The sequence below is a fragment of the Homo sapiens genome, chromosome 12 (genome assembly GCF_000001405.40).
Source record: "Homo sapiens chromosome 12, GRCh38.p14 Primary Assembly".
Lineage (NCBI taxonomy): Eukaryota > Metazoa > Chordata > Mammalia > Primates > Hominidae > Homo > Homo sapiens.
The window spans coordinates 100,327,071-100,349,908 of NC_000012.12; the positions used below are offsets into that span (position 1 = coordinate 100,327,071).

Below are 22,838 nucleotides of genomic sequence, written 5' to 3' on the forward strand. Positions count from 1 at the left end.
TCTGAGGTTTATTTGATACTCAATTTGTAAGAGGCAAAGTATTTTCTCTGCGTTATGTTATTTTATTCTTCCCCAAATTCAATTAAATAGGTACTATTGTTTCTATTTTATAAGGAAACTGAGGCTCAGAGAGGTAAAATAAGTGATTCAAGATCATATAAGTGGTAAGTGATAGGAGCTGGTTTTCTAATATGTTTAAGTCTTAATTAGTATATTTTGTGGCTAAGTGATATGCTGATGAAGCATGTTAACCTTATAGGACATTCTGTTCTCTCAGCATAATTACAAATTACTAAGAAACTCTGAAATCATTTATATATAGTTAAAGTTATAGAAGTCCAATCTGAAAATGCCAGGGGTCTGCTGCACTAATAAAATAGGCATAGCTATAGAGTCACAAAAACATTTAACAGGTTCATTTTTTATTTAATTTAAGGTTGTTTGCTAATTTTTTTTTTTTTTGAGATGGAGTCTCATTCTGTCACCCAGGATGGAGTGCAGCGGTGCCATCTCAGCTCACTGCAACCTCCGCCTCCCGAGTTCAAGCAATTCTCTGCCTCAGCCTCCTGAGTAGCTGGGATTACAGGCACCTGCCACCACGCATGGCTAATTTTTTTGTATTTTTTGTAGAGACAGGGTTTCATCATCTTGGCCAGGCTGGTCTTGAACTCCTGACCTTGTGATCCACCTGCCTCGGCCTCCCAAAGTGCTGGGATTACCGCCTGGTTCTTTGTTAATTTTTAAGAAAAATTATATTATTCATCCATGTATTCTTAACACCTAATGTAGTGCTTGGCCTGCAGAAACTGCTCAGTAAATATTTGTGGGAATGGTTAGCAAGTATTTATTGTGGACCTCTATAGACATGGAAGGTACTCTAGGGATATCGCATGAATCTTTTGTGCAGAAAGAAGTTTGTCTTCTTGGCTGGATGCAGTGGCTGACACCTGTATTCCCAGCACTTTGGGAGGCCAAGGTGGGTAGATCACTTGAGCCCAGGAGTTCAGGACCAGCCTGAGCAACATGGCAAAACCCCATCTCTACTAGAAATACAATAATTAGCCAGGTGTGGTAGCATGCGCCTGTAGTCCCAGCTACTTGGGAGTCTGAGGTGGGAGAATCACATGAACCAGGGAGGTTGAGGCTGCAGGGACCCATGATCGTGTCACTGCATTCCAGCATGAGCAACAGGGCAAGACCCTGTCTTAAAAAAAAAGTCTTTTTGAGCAGGAGTTTGGCATAGTAGAAATTTGAGCCCTGGCTCTAATCCTGGCTCTGTCAGTTCTTGAGGTGACTTTGAAAAGTTTATTTATCCAATGAGGATGAGACTAACGTCATTTTAGGATTCTTGTGAGACTTCACTGAAACAAAGGGAAAGTAACAAGCATAGTGCTCAGCAAATAAGCATTTAGTAGGTGCCCAATAAAGTTACTCTTTGGGTATATAAGTCATGTGCACATTAACAGAATAATGGGGGATGGTATTTCACAAAGCTTTGGATTATATACAAAACACTTAGAACTCAAAAGCATTCAGAGAATGAGGCGGAAATGTACTCAGTTTACCAAATGAAGGCTTTGTGGATAGATGTAACAAGTGGGGTCTTGAAGATTGAGTAAATAGGTGAGACAATAGGGAAGGATTTTGTGGAATTGAATTCAGTTATTAAATTTCAAACATGTTGAGTTTGATTTGCTGAAGAAGTGAATAAAGGTGTAGGACTTATATTTTGACTGTACCTATACTATACCCTTTGAAATAGATGCCTTGAGTATGATTTCTGAAATATATATTTAGATGTTTCAGAATAGAAGGCCATTCTGTAACCTTACTGCTGCACAATAAGAATTGAACCTGGTTCTGATAAGCTTCTTATGTTATGCTATCATTAAATGTACTCCTAAACCAAAAGAACACAGGATAAATATGTCATGGTGTTTAAATCTGGCCTGATGATAAAGGCTGAAATCATTCTGATTCATATGTAAGAACATCATTATTCTAGGCATTGATTGGGAAAAACTTGTACTACACAGATTATCAAGGGATTTCGTATACATATATTATTTTCATGATTTCTATGAATTTATGGTGTTAACTTATAAAATTTGTCACATTCTTTTCTATCAGGTATTTACAAATGTACTTTTACTCATAAGAAGTTGGGAATCACCAAAGAGCAGCTGGCCGGAAAAGTGTTGCCTCATCTTATTCCCCTGAGTATTGAAAACAATCTTAATCTTAATCAGGTAGGAGTATTTTTGTGCTTTATTCATTTTATTCAGCTTACTTTTTTCTTGGCATTAGATATATAAATATATTACAAAGATTGGTTAAAAAAAAAAGGGTGAGGGGAGAATATGCCACAGAACTAAATGAAGAAAGTTTGTGGGTGGAAGGATAGATTGTTAAAGACGTCATTGGTAAATAGTAAATGAGCAGGATGTTGAGAAATATGTAGGATTTGGGACTACTTTAAATTTGGGGCTGGGAAATTGACATGAATGAAGAACAAAGTTATAGAATGTGTTTGGGGAGTATATTCATTATTTATTGATTGCTACAGAACAAATCACCACAAACTTAAGGGTTTAAAGCAACACACATTTATTATCTCACAGCTTCTGTGGGTCAGGCCAGAACATGGCTTAGCTGGATTCCCTGCTCAGGGTTTCTCACAGTGCTGTAGTAAAGGACTTGGGGCTCGTTCAAGGCCCAGCTATGGAGTGATCTACTTCTAAGCGCACTTACGTGGTTGTTGGCAAGATTCAGTTGCTTTTGGGCTGTTGTACTTAGGGCCTCCATTCTTAGCTATTAGCTGGATGCCACTGTCAGTTCCTAGCCACATGGGACTTTCCAACATGGCAACTTGTTTCATCAAAGCCTGCAAAAGAGAGTCTGCTAGCAAGACTGAAATTATAGTCCCTTGTAATCAAGGAAGTGATACCCCATCACCTGTGCCATAGTCTGTTGCTTTAGAAACAAGTCACAGGTTCAGCCCACACTCAAAGATAGGGGATTCCACAAGGGCATGAATGGCAGGAGGAGGAGATAATTGGGAACCATTTTAAGAGTCTATATATCACTGGGAAGGAATAATTCAATTTGATTGGCAGATATATATAATACAGTAGGAGAATAATGGGAGAAAGATAAATTGAGACTAGAATAGGTAGACTTTAAATGCCTGTCTGGTTTAGGTATTTGAACTTTCAAGGTGTGGTAAATGTTTGAGTAAAGGAATAATGTGTCCAAAGATTATTATGGAATTGTCTCTCTGCATACCTCTATCGCTGTTTGTCACAGCTGTGTTCTTATGTGACTGATTCTTCCTGAAGATTAGAAACTCCTCAAAGACTGGTTATTAGAGCTTATTCTTCATTATAGCCCCAGCACTTAGTGCAATGACAGAAGCAAAAATATTAATTGAATTGAGAGAAAATTGAGATATAGAGACGAGTCATTTTTGTTCACAACAGAACTAGTATTTAATGAAATATAATGGAAAAGACTGAGTTGGGTTACTGTTTAACTGAGAGCATCAGAGATGGATAGGCAGGGAGGATTTAGAACTGAGAGTGAATTACAGCAATGAGGGAAGCAGAAAGCTGGAAGTTGAGAGCGTTTGGCATTGGGGAGAGTGCTGAGTGAGCAGAGTTTTGGAGGTAGAGAAATTTATAAAACTAATCAGAATGAACATTTCATTTGAAGTAATAGGGTAAGCCTCTGAAAATTTGTTCCTAGGTTTTAATTTTTTTTCTTTTTTTTTTTTTTTTGAGATGGAGTCTCGCCCTGTCACTCAGACTGGAGTGCAGTGGAGCAATCTCATCTCACTGCAACCTCCGCCTTCTTGGTTCAAGCAATTCTCATGCCTCAGCCTCCTGAATACCTGGGATTACAGGCATGAGGCACCATGCCTGGCTAATTTTTGTAGTTTTAGCAGAGACAGGTTTTCACCATGTTCCAGGATGGTCTCAGACTCCGATCTCAAGTGATCTGCTTGCCTCGGCCTCCCAAAGTGCTGGGATTACAGGCATGAGCCACCATGCCTGGCCCCCTAGATTTTAATTTTTGGTTTGGTAATTTCTTCATATCTTGGATAGCAGAGTTGAGGTTAGGGTGGGCAAGAAGGGAGACAGTGAGTATTGGGGAGGAATAGGATAATATGCCTAAAACAGCCTTCAGCTTTTTGTCATTTCTGTTCTTAGTTCTCATGTTTCTGATTTAGAGTTTTTAAATATTCCCAAATGCTTATTTTAGGATATATAGGCTCACTCCTGTCATCCCAGCACTTTGGGAGGGAAGGGTAGGTGGATCACTTGAGCTCAGGAGTTTGAGACCAGCCTGGGCAACATGGTGAAACCCCTTCTCTACAAAAATACAAAAATTAGCCAGGTGTGGTGGTGTGCGCCTGTAGTCCCAGCTACCAGAGGGAGCTGAGGTAGGAGGATTGCTTGAGCCTGGGAGGTGAAGGTTGCAGTGATTTGAGATTGCACCACTGCACTCCAGCCTGGATGACAAAGCAAGACCCTGTCTCTAATTCTGTTTGAAATGTTGTGTTAATTTACTTCAGCTTAGTGGGTTTTTTTTGGGGTGGGGGGAGTGGCTATTTTCATCAACAAATATTTTGATTCATATCTTCTTGTATTTTACAGTAGTTTAGCATGGATGTGGTCTGCCTTCCCATTTGTTTCATGGTCAGTGTTTCTCATTTAAGACTGCCTTCTTAGTTCCTTTCTGATTTAAGATGATTTAAATCTATTATACATTAAGTGACAAAGATAAGTAACTTAGGAAAATACATTTTCAGCATTTGAATAAAAAACAGCAAATGCCCTGCAGCAGTACACTGAATAATCAATCAGTTGTGTTTGAGGGGGGTTTCTAAGACCACCCCCAGAATGGATGATTCAGTAGGAGGACTCAGGACTCAGCATATAGTTATGCCCAGGCTGTGCTCTACTATGGTGAAAAGATATAAAGCAAAATCAGGAAAGGGAAAAGGTTCATAGGACAAAGTCTAGGGAAACCAGGCACAAGCTTCTAGAGTCTTTTCCCAGTGAAATCACGCAGGATTCCCCTTGTAATGAATTGTGGTTATACATGTGAAATGTTGCCAACCAGGGAAACTTATTAGAGACTCAGTGTCCAGAGTTTTCAATGAGGTCTGATCAAGTAACACCCTCTGCCTGGCATGTACTCAAATTCCAAACTCCCAGAAGGAAGGCAGGTGTACAGCATAGAACATATTCTTTGTACAAACAGTTTAGGCAAGTAAACCACTGTTACCAGTTAATAATAGGAACCTTTCTGAAATCTGAGTTCCCAGACATCAGCTAAAGGCCAATTTTGCAAGCAGGAGTTTTCGAGGATAGCAGTTTAGGCCTACAATGTTAACTGTTTTCTGCACAAACTACATTTAACAATACGGATGAATCTCACAAACATGTTGAGTGAATGAAGCCAGGCATAGAAGAGGATCTGCTGAATGATCCATTTATATAAAGTACAATAGTCTAAACTATGCTGCTAGAAGTCAGAATAAAGTTTACCCAAAGAGTATGAGGGTGGAAAATGACTGGAAGGGGGTATAAGGAAGCTTCTGGGATGTTGACAATGATTTTGCTTTGTTTTTGTTTTTATTTTTGTTTTTTTTTTTTTTGAGACAGGGTCTCACTCTGTCTCCCAGGCTGGAGTGCAGTGGCACAATCTCAGCTCACTGCAGCGTTGACCTCCTGGGCCCAAGTGATCCTCCCACCTCAGCCTCCCAAGTAGCTAGGACTACAGGCATGTACCACCACTCCTGGCTAATTTTTGTATTTTTTTGTAGAGATGTGGTCTCTCCACGTTGCCCAGGCTGGTCTCAAACTCCTAGGCTCAAATGATCTTCCTGTCTTGGCTTCCCAAAGTGCTGGGACTACAGGTGTGAGCCACATGCCTGGACCGATGTTGTTTCTTTATCTGGCTACTAGTTACATTGGGTGTGTTCAATTTGTGTGAATTGTGAATTTTTTTTTTTTTTGTCTGTGCACTTTGACATGTAGACTTTTGTGTTAGTATACTTCAATAAAAAGTTTTAGGAACCCTAATCAGTGGAAAGTCAATCATAGTAAACTGCTTTGGAAACATGCCTTTTGACTTTCTCATAAGATGAAGAAGCTGCTGCTGATAGAGCATGGTGAAAAGCAGTATAACGTAGTAGAAAAGGGTGCAGACTTTGGAGACAGGCTTAGAATGAATTCTAGCTCTGCCATATGAGCTCTCTAGCATCTCTGAGTTCCTTTACCTCTCATTGAGCCTGAGTTTCCTCATTTGTAGATTAGAAATATTAATGAACCTACTTTGAAGAGTTGTGAGGATTAATAAAATAGTGTATGTATAAACACTCAACACAAAAATGTAGTTATAAAATTTGGGGAAAGGAGGAGAGCCATTTCTAGATTCTTCCTGTAACGTGGTGTTATTCAAATAAGTTGTTTATGATGATCCTGAATGAAGTACCATAGGGATGAATGATCAGCAGTTGACCAAAATTAACCAAAGCTTAAACTATGTTAAGACATAGTGCTAGGTATGCTTTATGAAATCTAATTATTTGAAAGTTGGATTATGTACATTTAATTTTTCAACTGTCAGAAAACAGGATTTATTTTAGCCAGATATGTCATTGCAATCTGAATAAGCAGGAATTTTCTATGCCTATTAAATGGATTATTTCTAGAAGGCACAAATTCAGATGGTTAATTTTGAATTATCCCAAGAAGATCAATATATAACTGCTAAGGGTGAATTTATACAAGGCCCCTGAATAATAGCTATTAAACAACTCCGGGAGTAAAACTCATTATTGAGACATGTTTTCTGGAACTTAAAAGCCTCATCAACTATCATATCATCACCAAAGATATTATAAAAGCTTGCTATGATATGCCGAATTTAAATGTATCATTCTTATTGAATATCAGCGCTGTGACTGGATCCTATTCTACTGGTAAAAATGGAGAATATTATGATTAATTTACTGAATTATCTTAATTGATTACATTTGCTGCTAACTTGAAACATTGTAACCATATCAATTTCTCATTATACCAGTTCAATTCTTTCATTTCCGTCATAAAAGAAATGCTTAATAGATTGGAGTCTGAACATAAGACTAAACTGGAGCAACTTCATATAATGCAAGAACAGCAGAAGTAAGTAGGTTGCACATGAATTATATGTGGTCCGGGAGTGAAATTATAGTTGTCTTATGATTGATTTTCTGGAATATGGAATAGAAAACTTGCTGGATTTAAATTTGACCACATGTAAAACATTTCAAAATTTACCATCATGTTAATAAGTTGAACTGAATTAAAATAGAATGTGGTTGAAAAATCTAGTGTCACTTCTGAGTACAAAAGTGTAATATGGTATAATTTTAGCATTTTATCTACATAAAGAAAATTCTGTTTCTGAAAAATTTCTTGTCAGCAGTAGCCACTAGCATTGTAAACTCAGGTTGCTGAAAACTAAAAGCACCAATTAGGAAAATTTTTTAAATTTATGAACTTCTAGTGTTTTGATTTTTTTTTCATTCTCTCTTCTCCAGCCCCACAAACATTTAGAGAGCATTCATTTCATATTTAGCATCACAACATTCACCTGGTTTTATTTTTAGGGAGGATTTTCTAAATTATTTGCAGAAAACTAGTATTCAAAGAAGGCAAAGATGGAAATCGTTGACTGTTGAATCTAGTTTATTAAAATCGAAGCCCCACTATATTCTTTGCTCCAGAGTAAAACACATGAATCTAGGATACCTATTAAAGTTTGATCCTGAACCAAAAAACATCTAAAAATCAGTAAAATTGATATAAATCATGAACAAGGTCCCCAAGTAGAAACTCTTTAGCTTCTGCCCACAAGATGAAGACTTAAAGTAAATACACATGGTATAGAAATAGGTGAAATAGCCCTTTGTATGCTTGAAGTATTCTATAGTGTGTATGTATGTGGTGTTTGATGGATTGACTATGTTAACATAAAAATCTGGAGAAATAATTTTTAAAATGCATTATAGGTAGAAATAAATTTTTAATAACAAGTATTTATATTTGAGTTGGCAAATGAACCCTTCCTTTTTCTTCCTCCTATCTAAATCTTACCTATTTCTCAGGACATAGATCTGGCTCACATAACAGTGATTATAGCATTCATTGTTAGTATCACAGACTCAGAACTTAATCACATTGAATTCCCCATATTATATCTTGTCTTTGAGTGAGATGTTAAGCTCTTTGACAAGAGAACCATGCTTGACTGGTTTTATGACACCTTGAATAAATTCTCCAGTAAATCCCCAATGTTGAGTTTAAGAAATGGACTTACATACAAATGTTATTTTTGGGGCAAGCAGACATTAACAGTAGAAAATAATGGAAAAGATGACTCTTCTTAAAGAGTTTAATTGGGGTCTAATAAATTCCATGTGAATAAATAATTTTTGGCATGAGTATTTAAAAATATGCATTTCTTTTTATTGTTTTATCATAATTCAACTCTCCTACAGATCTTTGGATATAGGAAATCAAATGAATGTTTCTGAGGAGATGAAAGTTACAAATATTGGGAATCAGGTAAGAAGCAGCTTAATTTTTGCAGAAAGTATGCTTCATCTGGAGGGCTTTTAATCTTTAAGCAGCAAAATCACATTTTTATTGAACTTATTTAAATTATTGACATTTTTCTATTTCAGCAAATTGACAAAGTTTTTAACAACATTGGAGCAGACCTTCTGACTGGCAGTGAGTCCGAAAATAAAGAGGACGGGTTACAGAATAAACATAAAAGAGTGAGTTTCCTTACTGTTCTTTCAGCCCTCTTATTTTATGCTGTAGGACTTCCTGTAAACCACAGATTTTTGTTGGGAAATACTGTTCAGCAGCTTAACAAGAAACATTTGTAATTATCTTTCTGAAATTCCTTTATCAGTTAAACATGACCCTAACCCATTTTGAGAATAAACATACTTAAGATTTTTAGCTTCCATTATTACTTGACTTGCCACAAGGTAATATTTATAGACTCCTTGACTCCTTTGTCCTTTCTCTTGTACTTTGCCAGTCACACCCCTTGGTGAATCCCACTGTCTCTCTTTGCTTCTGCTCCTGTGTTGATGGATTCTACTATAGATTTGTGCTGTCCAGCTATCCTAGGCTGTCTCTGATTGTTGCTCTTCAGTATTTTAATTTCTCTCCCACTCACTACATTCCCAACAGTTTGAGTTCCAAACTCCTTCCATTCTTTTTGAGCCTAGCAACCTCATCTTCTGTCATTTCATGGTGTCAACTTTTATAGTCCATCAGATTTTCACTTTGACACTTTCACAGAGTACTGGTCAGTTATTTGGTAGCATGGCCATCAATTTGAGTTTGTCTCATGTTTTCTCATAATTGGATTAAAGTTGTACATTTTTGGCAGGCATACTACAGAAGTGATGATGTACCCTTCTTGGTTTATTCCAGCAGGGGTACATGATGTATACATGACTTATTAATGGCAGACCAACAATATTTTAAAGAGGATTTTCAAAATAGATCTGATTCCATCTCATAAGTAGATAAAAAATCTGAGCACATTTTTTTCTTCTCTATTTCTTGCTAAAATTTTGCTCCCCCTCTGATTTTGAATATGAAACTATAATAGGATACTTTTCTCTTGGTTAGCATCCAATAAAAAAACTTTAAGTCAGTTTGTGACTTCTGCTGAGGGCATTCTTCTATTCATTCATAAATGTGAATACTGTATGTGTAAAGCTAAGGGACTACTGGACATAGTAGTTTACAAAATTGTAAGAGAACATTGTGAGCTTTTAGTTTAGCAAAGTTGATAAAAGACAAGACATCAAATTTGCTGTAGACATCAGCAGTGAAAGAACTGCTAATGTTGTTTCATTCATTCTTTGCTTTTTGTGAGTTCCTAAAATATTCTTGGGGTGAGATAGATTAGAGTTTAAATAGATTTCCCAATTTTCAAGAATGAAATCACTAAATCTTATTGTCATTGTCTGGAAAAAAGTGATTCTAATGAATGGTTTTAAAATAATTATTATTTTCATGCTGGAAATACTTTTGCACAGATCCTGTGAGTTTTTATCTAAAGTTAAATTATATAGTAATTTGAAATACAGCTTACTGTGACAATCACCAAGACAAGAGTAGTTTGCTTTTCAGTGAAGTAGTAAGATGTACTTTACCCGAAGAGATTATCTTTTGTTTTACAAATGGACTTAATAAATTGCCGGTTGATTTTTTGCTTTATTTTGTTTTAAGGCATCACTTACACTTGAAGAAAAACAAAAATTAGCAAAAGAACAAGAGCAGGCACAGAAGCTGAAAAGCCAGCAGCCTCTTAAACCCCAAGTGCACACACCTGTTGCTACTGTTAAACAGGTCAGAGTTCATTTCTTTTGTGTAATTTCCAGAATACGACTGTTAAGGAGTAAGGTGGTATAGAACTTAGTCTACTAGTATTTGTATAAAAATATATCTCAAATAATACCTTAATATGTGGTTTCTAAGAAGTATGGGCATAAATGATTTTCCAACTCAGCTATAACCTGCCTAATGTATAATGTTTTGTGACAATGCTTGTTACCAGTAAAAAAGAAGCTAGAAGAATAGGAAGGGTTCTTAAAAGAGATTAGGACTCATAGTACTCATTCAACTCTGTTCACTCTGAAATGATCAGAATATTATATTCATGCTCTTAACATATTTTTGAGCTGAAGTTATTTTCTGTGTTTGACTTTTCAATTATAGTTAGATTTGTAACTTGATTTAAGATGTACCTACATGACCTGGCTAGTATTTGTTTTCTCCTGTGTTCCAGGCACTGTTCCAGGTATTGGTGCTATGGCAGTGAATAAGGGCCCTGCTTGTAGAGAGTTTACACTGTTACTGGTTTCAGAGATAGCTTTATCTTAAAAGCTTTCTTTAAACTATTTTTTTGTTACCTCTTAATCACTAACATTTTCTCTGAGAAAAACCTTTGTGGGCCAAGAGGCAAAACTGAGAATATTTTGTAGGTACTTTTTTAAGAATAGAGGAAACAAATTCCTATAAAGTTTTGATGAAATTCAAACTATACAAATAATAGTAAAAAATTACTGTATTTTTTGTAATATAGAATAAGAAGAATGCGATTCTTTTTTTGACAAGATAATATTTTGCTTAATTGGAGTTTACAGTTAGTGTTCCCTATCATCAAATCGATTGCAAATATTCATCTGTAAAAACTATATAAAAATAGGTGGCAGGCTGTATTTGACCGGCAGGCTATAGTTTGCTAATTTGGTGTAGACCATTGAGCTTAATTCTAACTTGTCCTTTATAATTTAATCTGTCAAATGTTTACTAATTATAAAGTAATTTATATTTCTTAGAGATAAAGTAATTCTCTCATATTTTTCAGACTAAGGACTTGACAGACACACTGATGGATAATATGTCATCCTTGACCAGCCTTTCTGTTAGTACCCCTAAATCTTCTGCTTCAAGTACTTTCACTTCTGTTCCTTCCATGGGCATTGGTATGATGTTTTCTACACCAACTGATAATACAAAGAGAAATTTGACAAATGGCCTAAATGCCAATATGGGCTTTCAGACTTCAGGATTCAACATGCCCGTTAATACAAACCAGAACTTCTACAGTAGTCCAAGCACAGTTGGAGTGACCAAGATGACTCTGGGAACACCTCCCACTTTGCCAAACTTCAATGCTTTGAGTGTTCCTCCTGCTGGTGCAAAGCAGACCCAACAAAGACCCACAGATATGTCTGCCCTTAATAATCTCTTTGGCCCTCAGAAACCCAAAGTTAGCATGAACCAGTTATCACAACAGAAACCAAATCAGTGGCTTAATCAGTTTGTACCTCCTCAAGGTTCTCCAACTATGGGCAGTTCAGTAATGGGGACACAGATGAACGTGATAGGACAATCTGCTTTTGGTATGCAGGGTAATCCTTTCTTTAACCCACAGAACTTTGCACAGCCACCAACTACTATGACCAATAGCAGTTCAGCTAGCAATGATTTAAAAGATCTTTTTGGGTGAGGTGTCTTACTTCTATTTTGAAGGATTATTTCAGTTTCAATCATGGGTGAGCTGATTTACATCTTTATATAGTTGGCTTGGAGGAAGTACTTCTATGGGAAAGTGAACAGTTCTGTGACAGGAAACATCTCTGTCCATGCCAGCATAGTAGTTGTATGGACTTCTAACCAGTTGAGTTTTTTAAAGCATTGAGGATTTTTTCCTCTTACCAACTCCTCTTCAGGTTTTTAAAGACCCAGCCCTTCCCAATCTCAAAGAGAAAAAGGAAACTGAGTTATCTTGAATAACATAACTTTTTAATCAAATGTTTATTTTGGCTTGTGGATCTTGGTGTTATTTAAAAAATTGAGGTGATGGTCATTGCAAGCTCATCTATTAAGTACTATATGGTACACAGTCTATGAGTCATTAGTCTTCATTTTAATATGTAAAAAATCTTGATGCTGTATTGATTTGTTTGCATTTAAGATGACAGTGAGAAAATGATAAGCATAAAGAGAAGTATCAGGTTATTTGCTTTTTCCAAACTTTTCAGATGAACTATTGTTTAGTACAGAGACTGAGCAAATACTACAAAATTCAACTTAACCTTCATTTCATTGGTTTAAATGCGTTATTAACCATCTTAAGTGCAAACTAATCATTGTAAATTATATTTTAGCATGGTCTGCCTCAAATAGTAATGTATTTTTCTGCATTCACTTGGATATATTTAGAATCACTTTTTTCCTCCTGTATCAAGGAAGAGGTATGTGCTGATTTGTTTGGATATTTGACAAGGCACTCTGATGTGACTTCCCTGACTACTACCTTCATATTTCATTTCAAATTCAAACTTCTGAGGTTGCAGCATATATGAATTGCATTTTCAAAAGAAGATTTGTAAGAATTAAACTATATTTATGAGTAAACTTTTGAGGTTTCTGCTGTATTGTTTCAAATGTAATAAACTTTACTTCTGTAAAAATTGAGCAGTTGTATCTTCTGACCACCAACAGATTTTCAGCTTGCCATGATAGTCTGACCTCATTAATTACTGCTACTGAAGTTCAATTTTTTTCTAGGAATTTTAGGAACCTTTTGTTTAAATATTTTAATTTCTATTAGCCATTTTTAGGAAGGAAAGAATCAATTCTCTTAACAGGAAACATGCTTTATTTTTCAAAACCTTTCTCTGATATTTTTCTTTAATTTGCTGATTATTCAACCACAGAGCCTTATGCTATAAATGTCATTTGTATTTTAAAAAATAATATTCCACTCATAAAACTTTAAAACCATCTTTCAACGAACTATATATGTATTATAGTTGCTGCCATAGAGTTGATGGTTTTTAATTATCTGGAACCAGCAATCATTTAAAATAAACCATATTAAGTTTAGTATGCTGGTATTGTTTATTCATTTTATATGAATATTCATTGAAAATATATACACAATATATGTAATACACAGCACTTGATTACAAAATGTAATTTAATTATATTATTGCTGGCAGCATTCAGTTAAGAGGGTACTTTAAAAAATAGAAGTCAGCTTTCACATCTGATTTCTGTATGGGCTGTACTTGGTTAACTTGATTTTAGAAAAAGGACTAACAGAATTGCTAAAGAAATGCATCCAATAAATGAAAAACAGTAGGAAGATCAAATGTTTTTGTCAAATATATTCACAACTTGACCAGATTAGCTGTCCTGTTTGTAATGCAATATTAATATGTCTTTTGGGAAAAAGCCTACATATGGAATAAAATAAGTATTGAAGAATTTTTCTTTGTAACAATTTAGTAGTCACTGTTTATTGAGAAATTGTTTTTTATTTTGTAAAATAACATGATGTTAGTGTTGAACTCTTAAACAGAAAGAAAGCTTAATATAACAGCTTATAGAACTTGAACTACTAAATATGAAAATAAGTCATTTGAAAAAAATACAGTATGTAAAATTTGTTCATTCGTTGAGGTAATGGTGCTATGTTTTTACAAAATTGTTCCTACACCTTTTTTCTACTTCAGGTATTTTATTTCAACCATTTCCATCAATTGAACTGTTACCATTGCCTTTTTCTGTTGAGAAATTGCCTCTGAAAAATAGTGCTATTTTTCAGCTTAAGTGTTCTTAAGTGAATGAAATTTTCAAAGTACTAGATCACCTTAAAATTATTTCACGTACTGAAGACAATTAAGTCCGTTATGTTTAGAGTAGAAAATGTTTAGGTTAAAGAGCATCTGTCAACAGAATCTACAAAAAAGATTCCCTTGCATTTGAATTAGTTCTCTATTCTCCTATTGCTAAATGTGTGATATATAGAGAGGATGTATAAAAGGAAATGGAAATAGACTATGTACTTGTCTGGTTTTTGTTTGTTTTTATTTTGGAATGCTTATAAGCCTCCTTTACACTGAATAAGGAAGTAGTTTTTGTTTTCTTTTGACCTGTAAAATACCTCACATGGTTGTTTTTACACATGAAAGAAAAAGGTATATGCGAACATACCTGATATCAAGAGGAGTATGCACCAAATAAATTTTAGCTTTGATAAAACTTTCCATATTAAGTTGTGATTTCATACTTTGTGATTACTGGTCTTAAAATAATTTTGGAACAAATGAATCTGTAAGAATTCAAACTATATAGGATTTTGAGAGATTATCTACATCAGTGGCTTTCAAACTCTTAACTGTGACACTCAATAAGAAAGACATTTTACCCTACAACTGCTATATAAAATATTTACCTGAAACAAAAGTTTCAGAAAACGTCTTTAATAGGTGTAGTGTACTCTTTTTATTCTATTAATTAAAAAGTTGGTTACAATTGCTAAAGGATTTCATGACTTAGTTTGAATAAAACTAAGTAGGCCAGGCGCAGTGGCTCACGCCTGTTATCCCAGCACTTTGGGAGGCCGAGGCAGGCAGATCACAAGGTCAAGAGATCGAGACCATCCTGGCCAACATGGGGAAACTCCGTCTCTACTAAAAATACAAAAATTAGCCGAGCGTGATGGTATGCACCTGTAATCCCAGCTACTCGGGAGGCTGAGGCAGGAGAATCGCTTGAACCTGGGCGGCAGAGGTTGCAGTGAGTCAAGATCACGCCACTGCACTACAGCCTGGACGACAGAGCAAGACTCTGTCTCAAAAAAAAAAAAAAATAAAGTAATTCAGCCCTATCTCTCCCAGCAGAGGTAGAAACAGAGGGCCTGAGGCTTGCATGGCTTAACCCGAAAAAATCAGCGCCTGGAATAGAAGCTAGATTTTTTCCTAATCTGCTCTCTACCACCTTGCATCTGTTACTGTATGAATTCTTCTGGAAGTGCTTCTGTTAAGACAGACATGTAGCAAGTAGGTGTTCAGTACTTATTGGGTATCATAAATATGTTTACATTGAGAAAAAATGGCTATGAGGGGAGAGTTGAGATGACAGAAATGTACATAGTCAAAATCAGCCTCTGGCTGCTGGTTTGAAATATGAGTGAGGAGAGTTGGGGCATCTGGGTTAGCAGTGTTTATAGTACCCAGACATATAGCGTAATTAAAGCTTTTAGACTTGGGGAGAAGGGAGTGCAGTAGTTAGAATGGCGATCATTAAAAAGTCAGGAAACAACAGGTGCTGGAGAGGATGTGGAGAAATAGGAACACTTATACACTGTTGGTGGGACCGTAAACTAGTTCAACCATTGTGGAAGACAGTGTGGCAATTCCTGAAGGATCTAGAACTAGAAATACCATTTGACCCACTCATCCCATTACTGGGTATATACCCAAAGGATTATAAATCATGCTGCTATAAAGACACATGCACACATAGACTTATTGCAGCACTATTCACAATAGCAAAGACTTGGAACCAACCCAAATGTCCATCAATGATAGATTGGATTAAGAAAATGTGGCACATATACACCATGGACTACTATGCAGCCATAACAAAGGATGAGTTCATGTCCTTTGTAGGGACATGGATGAAGCTGGAAACCATCATTCTCAGCAAACTATCACAAGAACAAAAAACCAAACACTGCATGTTCTCACTCATAGGAATTGAACAATGAGAACACTTGGGCACAGGAGGGGGAATATCACACACCGGGGCCTGTTGTGGGGGCGGGGGAGGGAAAGCATTAGGAGATATACCTAATGTAAATGACGAGTTAATGGGTGCAGCATGCCAATATGGCACATGTATACATATGTAACAAACCTGCACGTTGTGCACACGTACCCTAGAACTTAAAGTATAATTAAAAAAAAAAAAGAAAAGAAAAAGCCATTTCACCAAGATGGAACTTGTTGAAGTTTAGAAACTTTTTCTGTCCAAAGAAGCAAAGTTGCTCCAGCCACTCAGAAAGGATTTAACTACCAGGGGTAAAAACCACATATGTAACTTAAAATTTTCTAGTAATCCCATTAAAAATAGGTGAAATTGATTTTTTTTTTCCTTTGAGACCAGTCTCCTTCTGTCGCCCAGGCTGAAGTGCAGTGCTGTGATCTCAGTTCACTGCAGCGATCTCGGCTCACTGCAGCCTCTACCTCCCAGGTTGAAGAGATTCTTCTGCCTCAGCCTCCTAACTAACTGGGACTACAGGCATCCGCCACCACTCCCAGCTAATTTTGGTAATTTTAGTGGAGACAGGGTTTCACCATGTTGGCCAGGCTGGTCTCGAAGTCATGACCTCAAATGCTCCGCCCACGTCAGTCTCCCAAAGTGCTGAGATTACAGGCATGAGCCACTGCTCCAGGCCCTGAAATTGATTTTATTATATTTTAATATTGCCAGGTATGGTGGCTCATGCCTGTAATCCCAGCACTTTGGGAGGCCAAGGTGGGTGGATAGCTTGAATCCAGGAGTTCAAGACCAGCTTGGGCAACACGGTAAAACCCCGTCTCTACAAAAAATACACAAAATTAGCTGAGTATGGTGGCATATGCCTGTAGTTCCAGCTACTTGGGAGGTTGAGGTGGGAAGATCACTTGAGCCCAGAGGTTGCAGTGAGCCGATAACGCACCACTGCATTCCAGCCTGGGTGACAGAGTGAGACCCTATCTAAGAAAAAAAAAATTAAAATATTTCTGCATGGAATTGATATAAAAAACTCACATTTTACATCTTTTTGGGTACTTAGTCTTTGAGATGCAGTGTGTATTTTACACTTAGCACATTTAACTTCAGACTAGTCATATTTCGGGTACTTAGGAGCCACGTGGCTAGTAGCTGCTGCATTAGATAATGTGGATATAGTCTGGGCTCAGTGGCTCATGCCTATAATCCCAGCACTTTGGGAGGCTGAGGCGGGTGGATCACCTGAGGTCGGGAGTTTGAATCAATGTTGACCAGGTTGGCCTCGAACGTGTAGCCTCGCCTCCCCGAGTGCCACGGCAACCGGCCTGAGCCACAGCGGCTCCCGAAGTCGGGAGTTTGAGACTAGCCTGGCCAACATGGTGAAATTCTGTCTCTACTAAAAATACCAAAAATTAGCCAGGTGTGGGGCGCCTGTAATCCCAGCTACTTGGGAGGCTGAGGCCGGAGAATCGTTTGAACCCAGGAGGCGGAGGTTGCAGTGAGCCGAGATTGTGCCACTGCACTCCAGCCTGAGTGACAGTGAGACTCCATCTAAAAAATAAATAAGACAATGTGGATGTATATGGAAGCTCGGTGACTAAAGGAGTGAATGATGGCATTTATCAACTTATGGTTTCAGTTCCAAACCCATCCTTTGCCTTGCCTTGTACTGTTTTTTTCCTTTGCCAGCTGGAAAAATGAGGGCCCCAGAGTGGCACTGCAAAGCAAGAGCTGCAAGAAGATACTTTACTTATGGTTGTGGGTCTCCCATTATTATCCACCATAGAAGCCCAGCAGTCCAAACAGAGGAGCTCCAGCTGCACCTCAGGTTACCTTCTCCCAACCCTGAGCCACTGTGGAGCAGCTCCCATGGGCTGCTTCCATGCCAGCTCTGCCACTCCATCAAGCAACTGTCTTCCATTCTGTGGCCCATTCCCTCGGACAAGTTTCTTCACCATGGCAGGCTGAATGTTCCTGTAGAAACCACACCCTCTCCAGAGAAGTCTGATCTCAGCTTGGGAGTGGAGTAGGGGAAGAGAGCCTCTCCTGGTCTTTAGTTCATTTTTTTTTTTTTTTCACTTTTCTTCAGCCTAGAGGCAGTATTTGCCTTTTACCTGCTACTTCTGTGCCCCTTAGAGTCCTCTTTTGCCCCTACAAATAATTTACCAGCTTCTACTAGTTAGCAAATATTATATTAAAACTTCCCTGTTCAAGTATCTGGTGTGGGGTTTCTGTCTCCTTACTTACCCTCACTGATAGAGCCTGAATCCAATAATAAGTCATTTTAAAATGGGGCCATAAATATATACTGCTATCAAAAGCCATTGGAATTGTGTTTACCTATCCTATATTAAAACTTTATGGAAGTTCTTTTGAAAGTTCCCACAGTAGAAATACAGTTTGGCTACTTTAATTATACCTACTGGATGCAGTTCCAATTTTTGTCTTTTTTCCTCCTGTGTTTTGGATATGTTCCTTTGTGTGGTGACCTTGGTTGCTAGTAAAGGCAGTGTTTGACTTTTATATAAAGGTAAATGAGATAGAGACGTTAATGTCTGTAGTTTGATTGTAGGAATAAACATAGATTTGCCCCAAGTCTATGCCCCTCAGCCTACCAGTCTTTTTGAACATAATGATCAGTCAAAACTCAAATGTGAGGCATATCCATGGTCACACTAGAAGCATATGGTGTATGAAGTTTGGAGCCAGAAAAAGGTGCTTTTATTAAAAAAATTTCAGGCTAAAATTGTAGTACTCACACTTTATAGACGTGGGGCAGGGTACTTTACACATTTGCGTGTTGTAACAGATCCAATTTTTTTTTTTTTTTTTTTTTTTTTTGTCTAAGACAGGGTCTGGCTCTGTCACCCAGGCTGAAGTGCAGTGGCATGATCTTGGCTCACTGCAACCTCCACCTTCCAGGCTCAAGCAATCCTCCCACCCCAAGCCTCCTGAGTAGCTGGGGCTACAGGCATGCACCACCACACCCAGCTAATTTCTGTATTTTTTAAAATTTAATTTAATTTTTTTTTTTTTGGTAAAGACAAGGTTTCACCATGTTGCCCAGGCTGGTCTCGAGCTCCTGAGCTCAAGCGATCCACCCACTTTGACCTCCCAAAGTGCTGGGATTACAAGAGTGAGCCGCTGTGCCCGGCCCCAAAATTGTTTTTAAGAAAATCTTGTCTCTAACATTTGGCACTCTTAAGATTGTATCTGTAAAGAGATGGAAAGGCTTTTCACTGAGGTGGGTGTCCTCATTAGACTGCTCACATTTTATAAGAGGTTGTCACGTCTGTCTCCAGCTACAGTGGTTATGTGAATCTGCCCTCAATCAGCAATGGTACCTGTACTCCAGCCACTTGTCAGAGAGCAACATTTAACTCTCTATTGCCCAATGGGCAAAATCTCGTTTTTGAGAGATGTTTATTGAGGAGGCCAAAAATTGAGTAATCCATTCATTTTCTCTAGAAATTCTGAATTAAGCCCACTCTTGAGACCTTTGTGCCTGGGTTGCCTTGTTTTCTCCATGCATCAGGTTTCTTTTATCACTGGTAGCTTTTGACTATGCTGTGAACTTGTATTTACGCCAGGGATGACATTGGTTCACTCCCACATAAATAGCTTCTTTGAGGACCCACTGGAGAGGTTTCAGGTTTCAGTTCAGGAGTCAATGTGCTTCTAAGCAAGTGGTTTGCCCTTCCTTTTTTTTTTTTTTTTTGAGAATGAATCTCACTCTGTTGTCCAGGCTGGAGTGCAGTGGCATGATCTCGGCTCATTGCAACCACCACCTCCTGGGACCAAGCGATTCTTGTACCTCAGCCTCCCAAGTAACTGGGTTTACAGGCACCAGCCACCACGCCTGGCTGATTTTTTTTTTTTTTTTTTTTTTGTATTTTTAGTAGAGACAGGGTTTTGCCATGTTGGCCAGGCTGGCCTCGAACTCCTGACCTCAGGTGATCCACCCGCCTTGGCCTCCCAAAGTGCTGGGTGGCGTGAGCCACCGCGCCTGGCCTGCTTCTACCTTTTAAAGTCCGCATAAAGTAACAGATTAGGTAATACAGCTAAGAGATTCAGCCAAATGTGCTGTTTACCTGTAGCAAATGTATAGGATAATAATAGTATGCAATATTCAATGCGTACCTTCTGGCTTTATCTGATTTTTAAAAAATCCTTATTTCTCATTTGCTCTGATTTCCTTTTAAAATAAGTTTTTTATCTATGTTCATAGAAATCCTCTTTTGGAATCAGGTAGAGTATAAACAGTTACACGGACTGAATGAGTGTAAATCTTGTCTCTTTCACTTAACTGACCAGAATAAGTTTTCTCAGCTACGAAATAAGATCACACCTTACAGGCCTATTAGGATTAGTGTGCAAAGTGTGCAAAGCACCTAGCACAGCTCCTGGCACATAGTAGGTGCTCAATAGATTTTTCCACTCACTTTGTGATGATATAGATCTCTAAAATAAACTCTGCTTTAATGAAAAACAAATACTTCACCTGGCTGGGCGATGTGGCTTATGCCTGTAATCCCAGCACTTTGGGAGGCCGAGGTGGATGGATCACTAAAGGTCAGGAGATTGATACCAGCCTGGCCAACATGGTGAAACCCCATCTCTACTAAAAATACAAACATTAGCTGGGCGTGTTGGTGCACGTCTCTAACCCCAGCTACTTGGGAGGCTGAGGCATGAGAATCGCTTGAACCCGAGAGGCGGAGGTTGCAGTGAGCTGAAATCGCACCACTGCACTCCCTCCAGCCTGGGCAACAGAATGAGACTGTCGCAAAACAAACAAAAAAAACCATCTGGCACCATTTGAATGCACTTATTTTTCAATAAATACATAAATAAAACTAAGCTATAAAATACTATACGCTTGGCACTGTGAGATTCTTGGGACACAAATAGAAATGAGATATAGGCCTTGCCCTCAGGGGGTTTGCACTGTAGTTATAAAGGTAGTTGAGTAAGCAGACAGGTGCAGAACAGTGTGATACACACTATGAGCAAAATCCATGTAGGAGGGACACGCAATCTAGATAGTCGGGAAGGCTTAAAGGAGACAGGGCCCGAGCTCAGCTGCACAGAGCTTTTGTAAAGTTTTTTACTGTTTTTTTGTTTTTTGTTTTTCTGTGTTTTGTTTGTTTGTTTTGTTTTGTTTTTTTATGCTACCAAATGATTACTTTGGTCACATTTTCTCAAATTAAGTTTGAACTACTAGGGAGCGGATTAGAGCAGGTAACTGCCAAAGTCCTTTTGAATTCTGAGATTTTATGAAAACTTCTCAAATAAGGGAAATCTGGTCAATTTTTCATGACTAAGAAAAGCAGAATTAATGCTAGCTGCCTAAATTAGAACATGTGGAGAAATACCAAAAAGAAAAAAATATTAGCTGATTAAAACATTTCTATTAGAGCCAGGGATGACAGCAAGGCAAGGAGCAGAATAAGTGAGCTATAATGTTATTTTTTAGCTGGTTTATATTTTATTGAATATTTCATACATTTAAGAATCCACACTTGGGGGCTTAATGTATATAGAATAAATCTTTTAAAACCGTGGCTGGATTTTGGGGTTGTGGGGGAAATGTCTGCCATAAATATATTTAGTCTGTAAACTACCAGAAGATGTCACTATCTCCCAAGTAATCATCCATTACATTAGCCCCTTTACAGGTGATTTTTTTTAACATGAATAGGCTAGGGAAGATAATGGGAAGAATATCTGCCTTTTGGTGTAGCATCTACAAAAGGATGGGATCATGAGAAATACTTGTGAACGGTGTGTGGGTTTGTTCTGCCGTGACCCTTAACCCCCCAAATATCATCCTTGTTCACTGCTCTATGTGTTAAAATTATCTGGACACGCAGGGTTCTATCTGCACCTTCAAGAAAAATGAAGGTGGTAAAAAAATCCTTCAAAATATTATCTCTGGTTTTGATCTTTCAACATTTCAGTTTGCATTATTACAATACAACTGTATTTAACAGATTATCAGATTTTCTAGTATATCCCTGAGTATTTTTTGCAAGTCACCATGCATAGTGCATAAAGCAAATCTAGTGTTTCCACACTGCAGTAATACCAAATGAAAGGAATCCAGCTTTCCTCATTTCTTCGCAAGGGGAGATTTCGGAGCATATGGGTAGTATAACACATGTTTAAAAAATAAGCCTGTAATTCCAGCACTTTGGGAGGCCGAGGCAGGCAGATCACTTAAGGTTAGGAGTTTGAGACCAGCCTGGCCAACATGGTGAAACCTCATCTCCACTAAAAATACAAAAATTAGCTGGGCCTGGTGGCACACACCTGTAATCCCAGCTACCTGGGAAGCTGGGGGCAGGAGAATTGCTTGAACCCAAGGAGGTGGAGGTTGCAGTGAGCTGAGATAGCGCTCACTCCAGCCTGGGTGACAGAGCAAGACTCTGTTTTAAATAATAATAATAATGTTATTGTCTTTACAGCCAGAAAACAGACTAAAAAATTGATAATTGAGTGTCTTATGTTGGGATACCCCAATATGAGATACCTTACCTTGGGGAGAGATACCCTCCAAGATGAAATGAGAAATAATTTGTTATAGGTAAGCAATGGCAGCAAGCAAATGAGCACATGAGTGTGACTTCTTGTTGCATCTCTGCCTGATACCTCAAAGTATCACTGGCCTTCTCC

General features: G+C 37.9%; 1 protein-coding gene across 5 annotated transcripts in view, besides 2 other annotated features; it reads left to right on the plus strand.

The window, feature by feature from the left end:
* The window catches only part of SCYL2 (SCY1 like pseudokinase 2), a 74,539-nt gene extending 59,894 nt beyond the window's left edge, over positions 1-14,645 (plus strand). For all 5 annotated transcript variants that reach the window (NM_001330253.2, NM_017988.6, NM_001330256.2 and 2 more), the window contains 6 exons: positions 2,131-2,249; positions 7,096-7,196; positions 8,555-8,621; positions 8,741-8,836; positions 10,317-10,436; positions 11,458-14,645. In NM_001330253.2, the coding sequence (NP_001317182.1) occupies positions 2,131-2,249; positions 7,096-7,196; positions 8,555-8,621; positions 8,741-8,836; positions 10,317-10,436; positions 11,458-12,102 (1,148 nt within the window). In that variant the 3' untranslated portion in view covers positions 12,103-14,645. The remainder of the gene's footprint in view (positions 1-2,130; positions 2,250-7,095; positions 7,197-8,554; positions 8,622-8,740; positions 8,837-10,316; positions 10,437-11,457) is intronic.
* Positions 2,761-2,940: an enhancer, noted in NCBI's record as "active region_6859". NCBI's record gives its function as "activates an Ori minimal core promoter by ATAC-STARR-seq in GM12878 lymphoblastoid cells {active_cell/tissue: GM12878}" and the evidence as "EXISTENCE:reporter gene assay evidence [ECO:0000049][PMID:35858748]".
* Positions 3,666-3,887: a silencer, noted in NCBI's record as "fragment chr12:100724514-100724735 (GRCh37/hg19 assembly coordinates)". NCBI's record gives its function as "represses an EF-1alpha promoter that drives an FKBP-Casp9 reporter gene in an ReSE screen in K562 erythroleukemia cells {active_cell/tissue: K562}" and the evidence as "EXISTENCE:reporter gene assay evidence [ECO:0000049][PMID:32094911]".
* Positions 14,646-22,838: the final 8,193 nt, after the last annotated feature.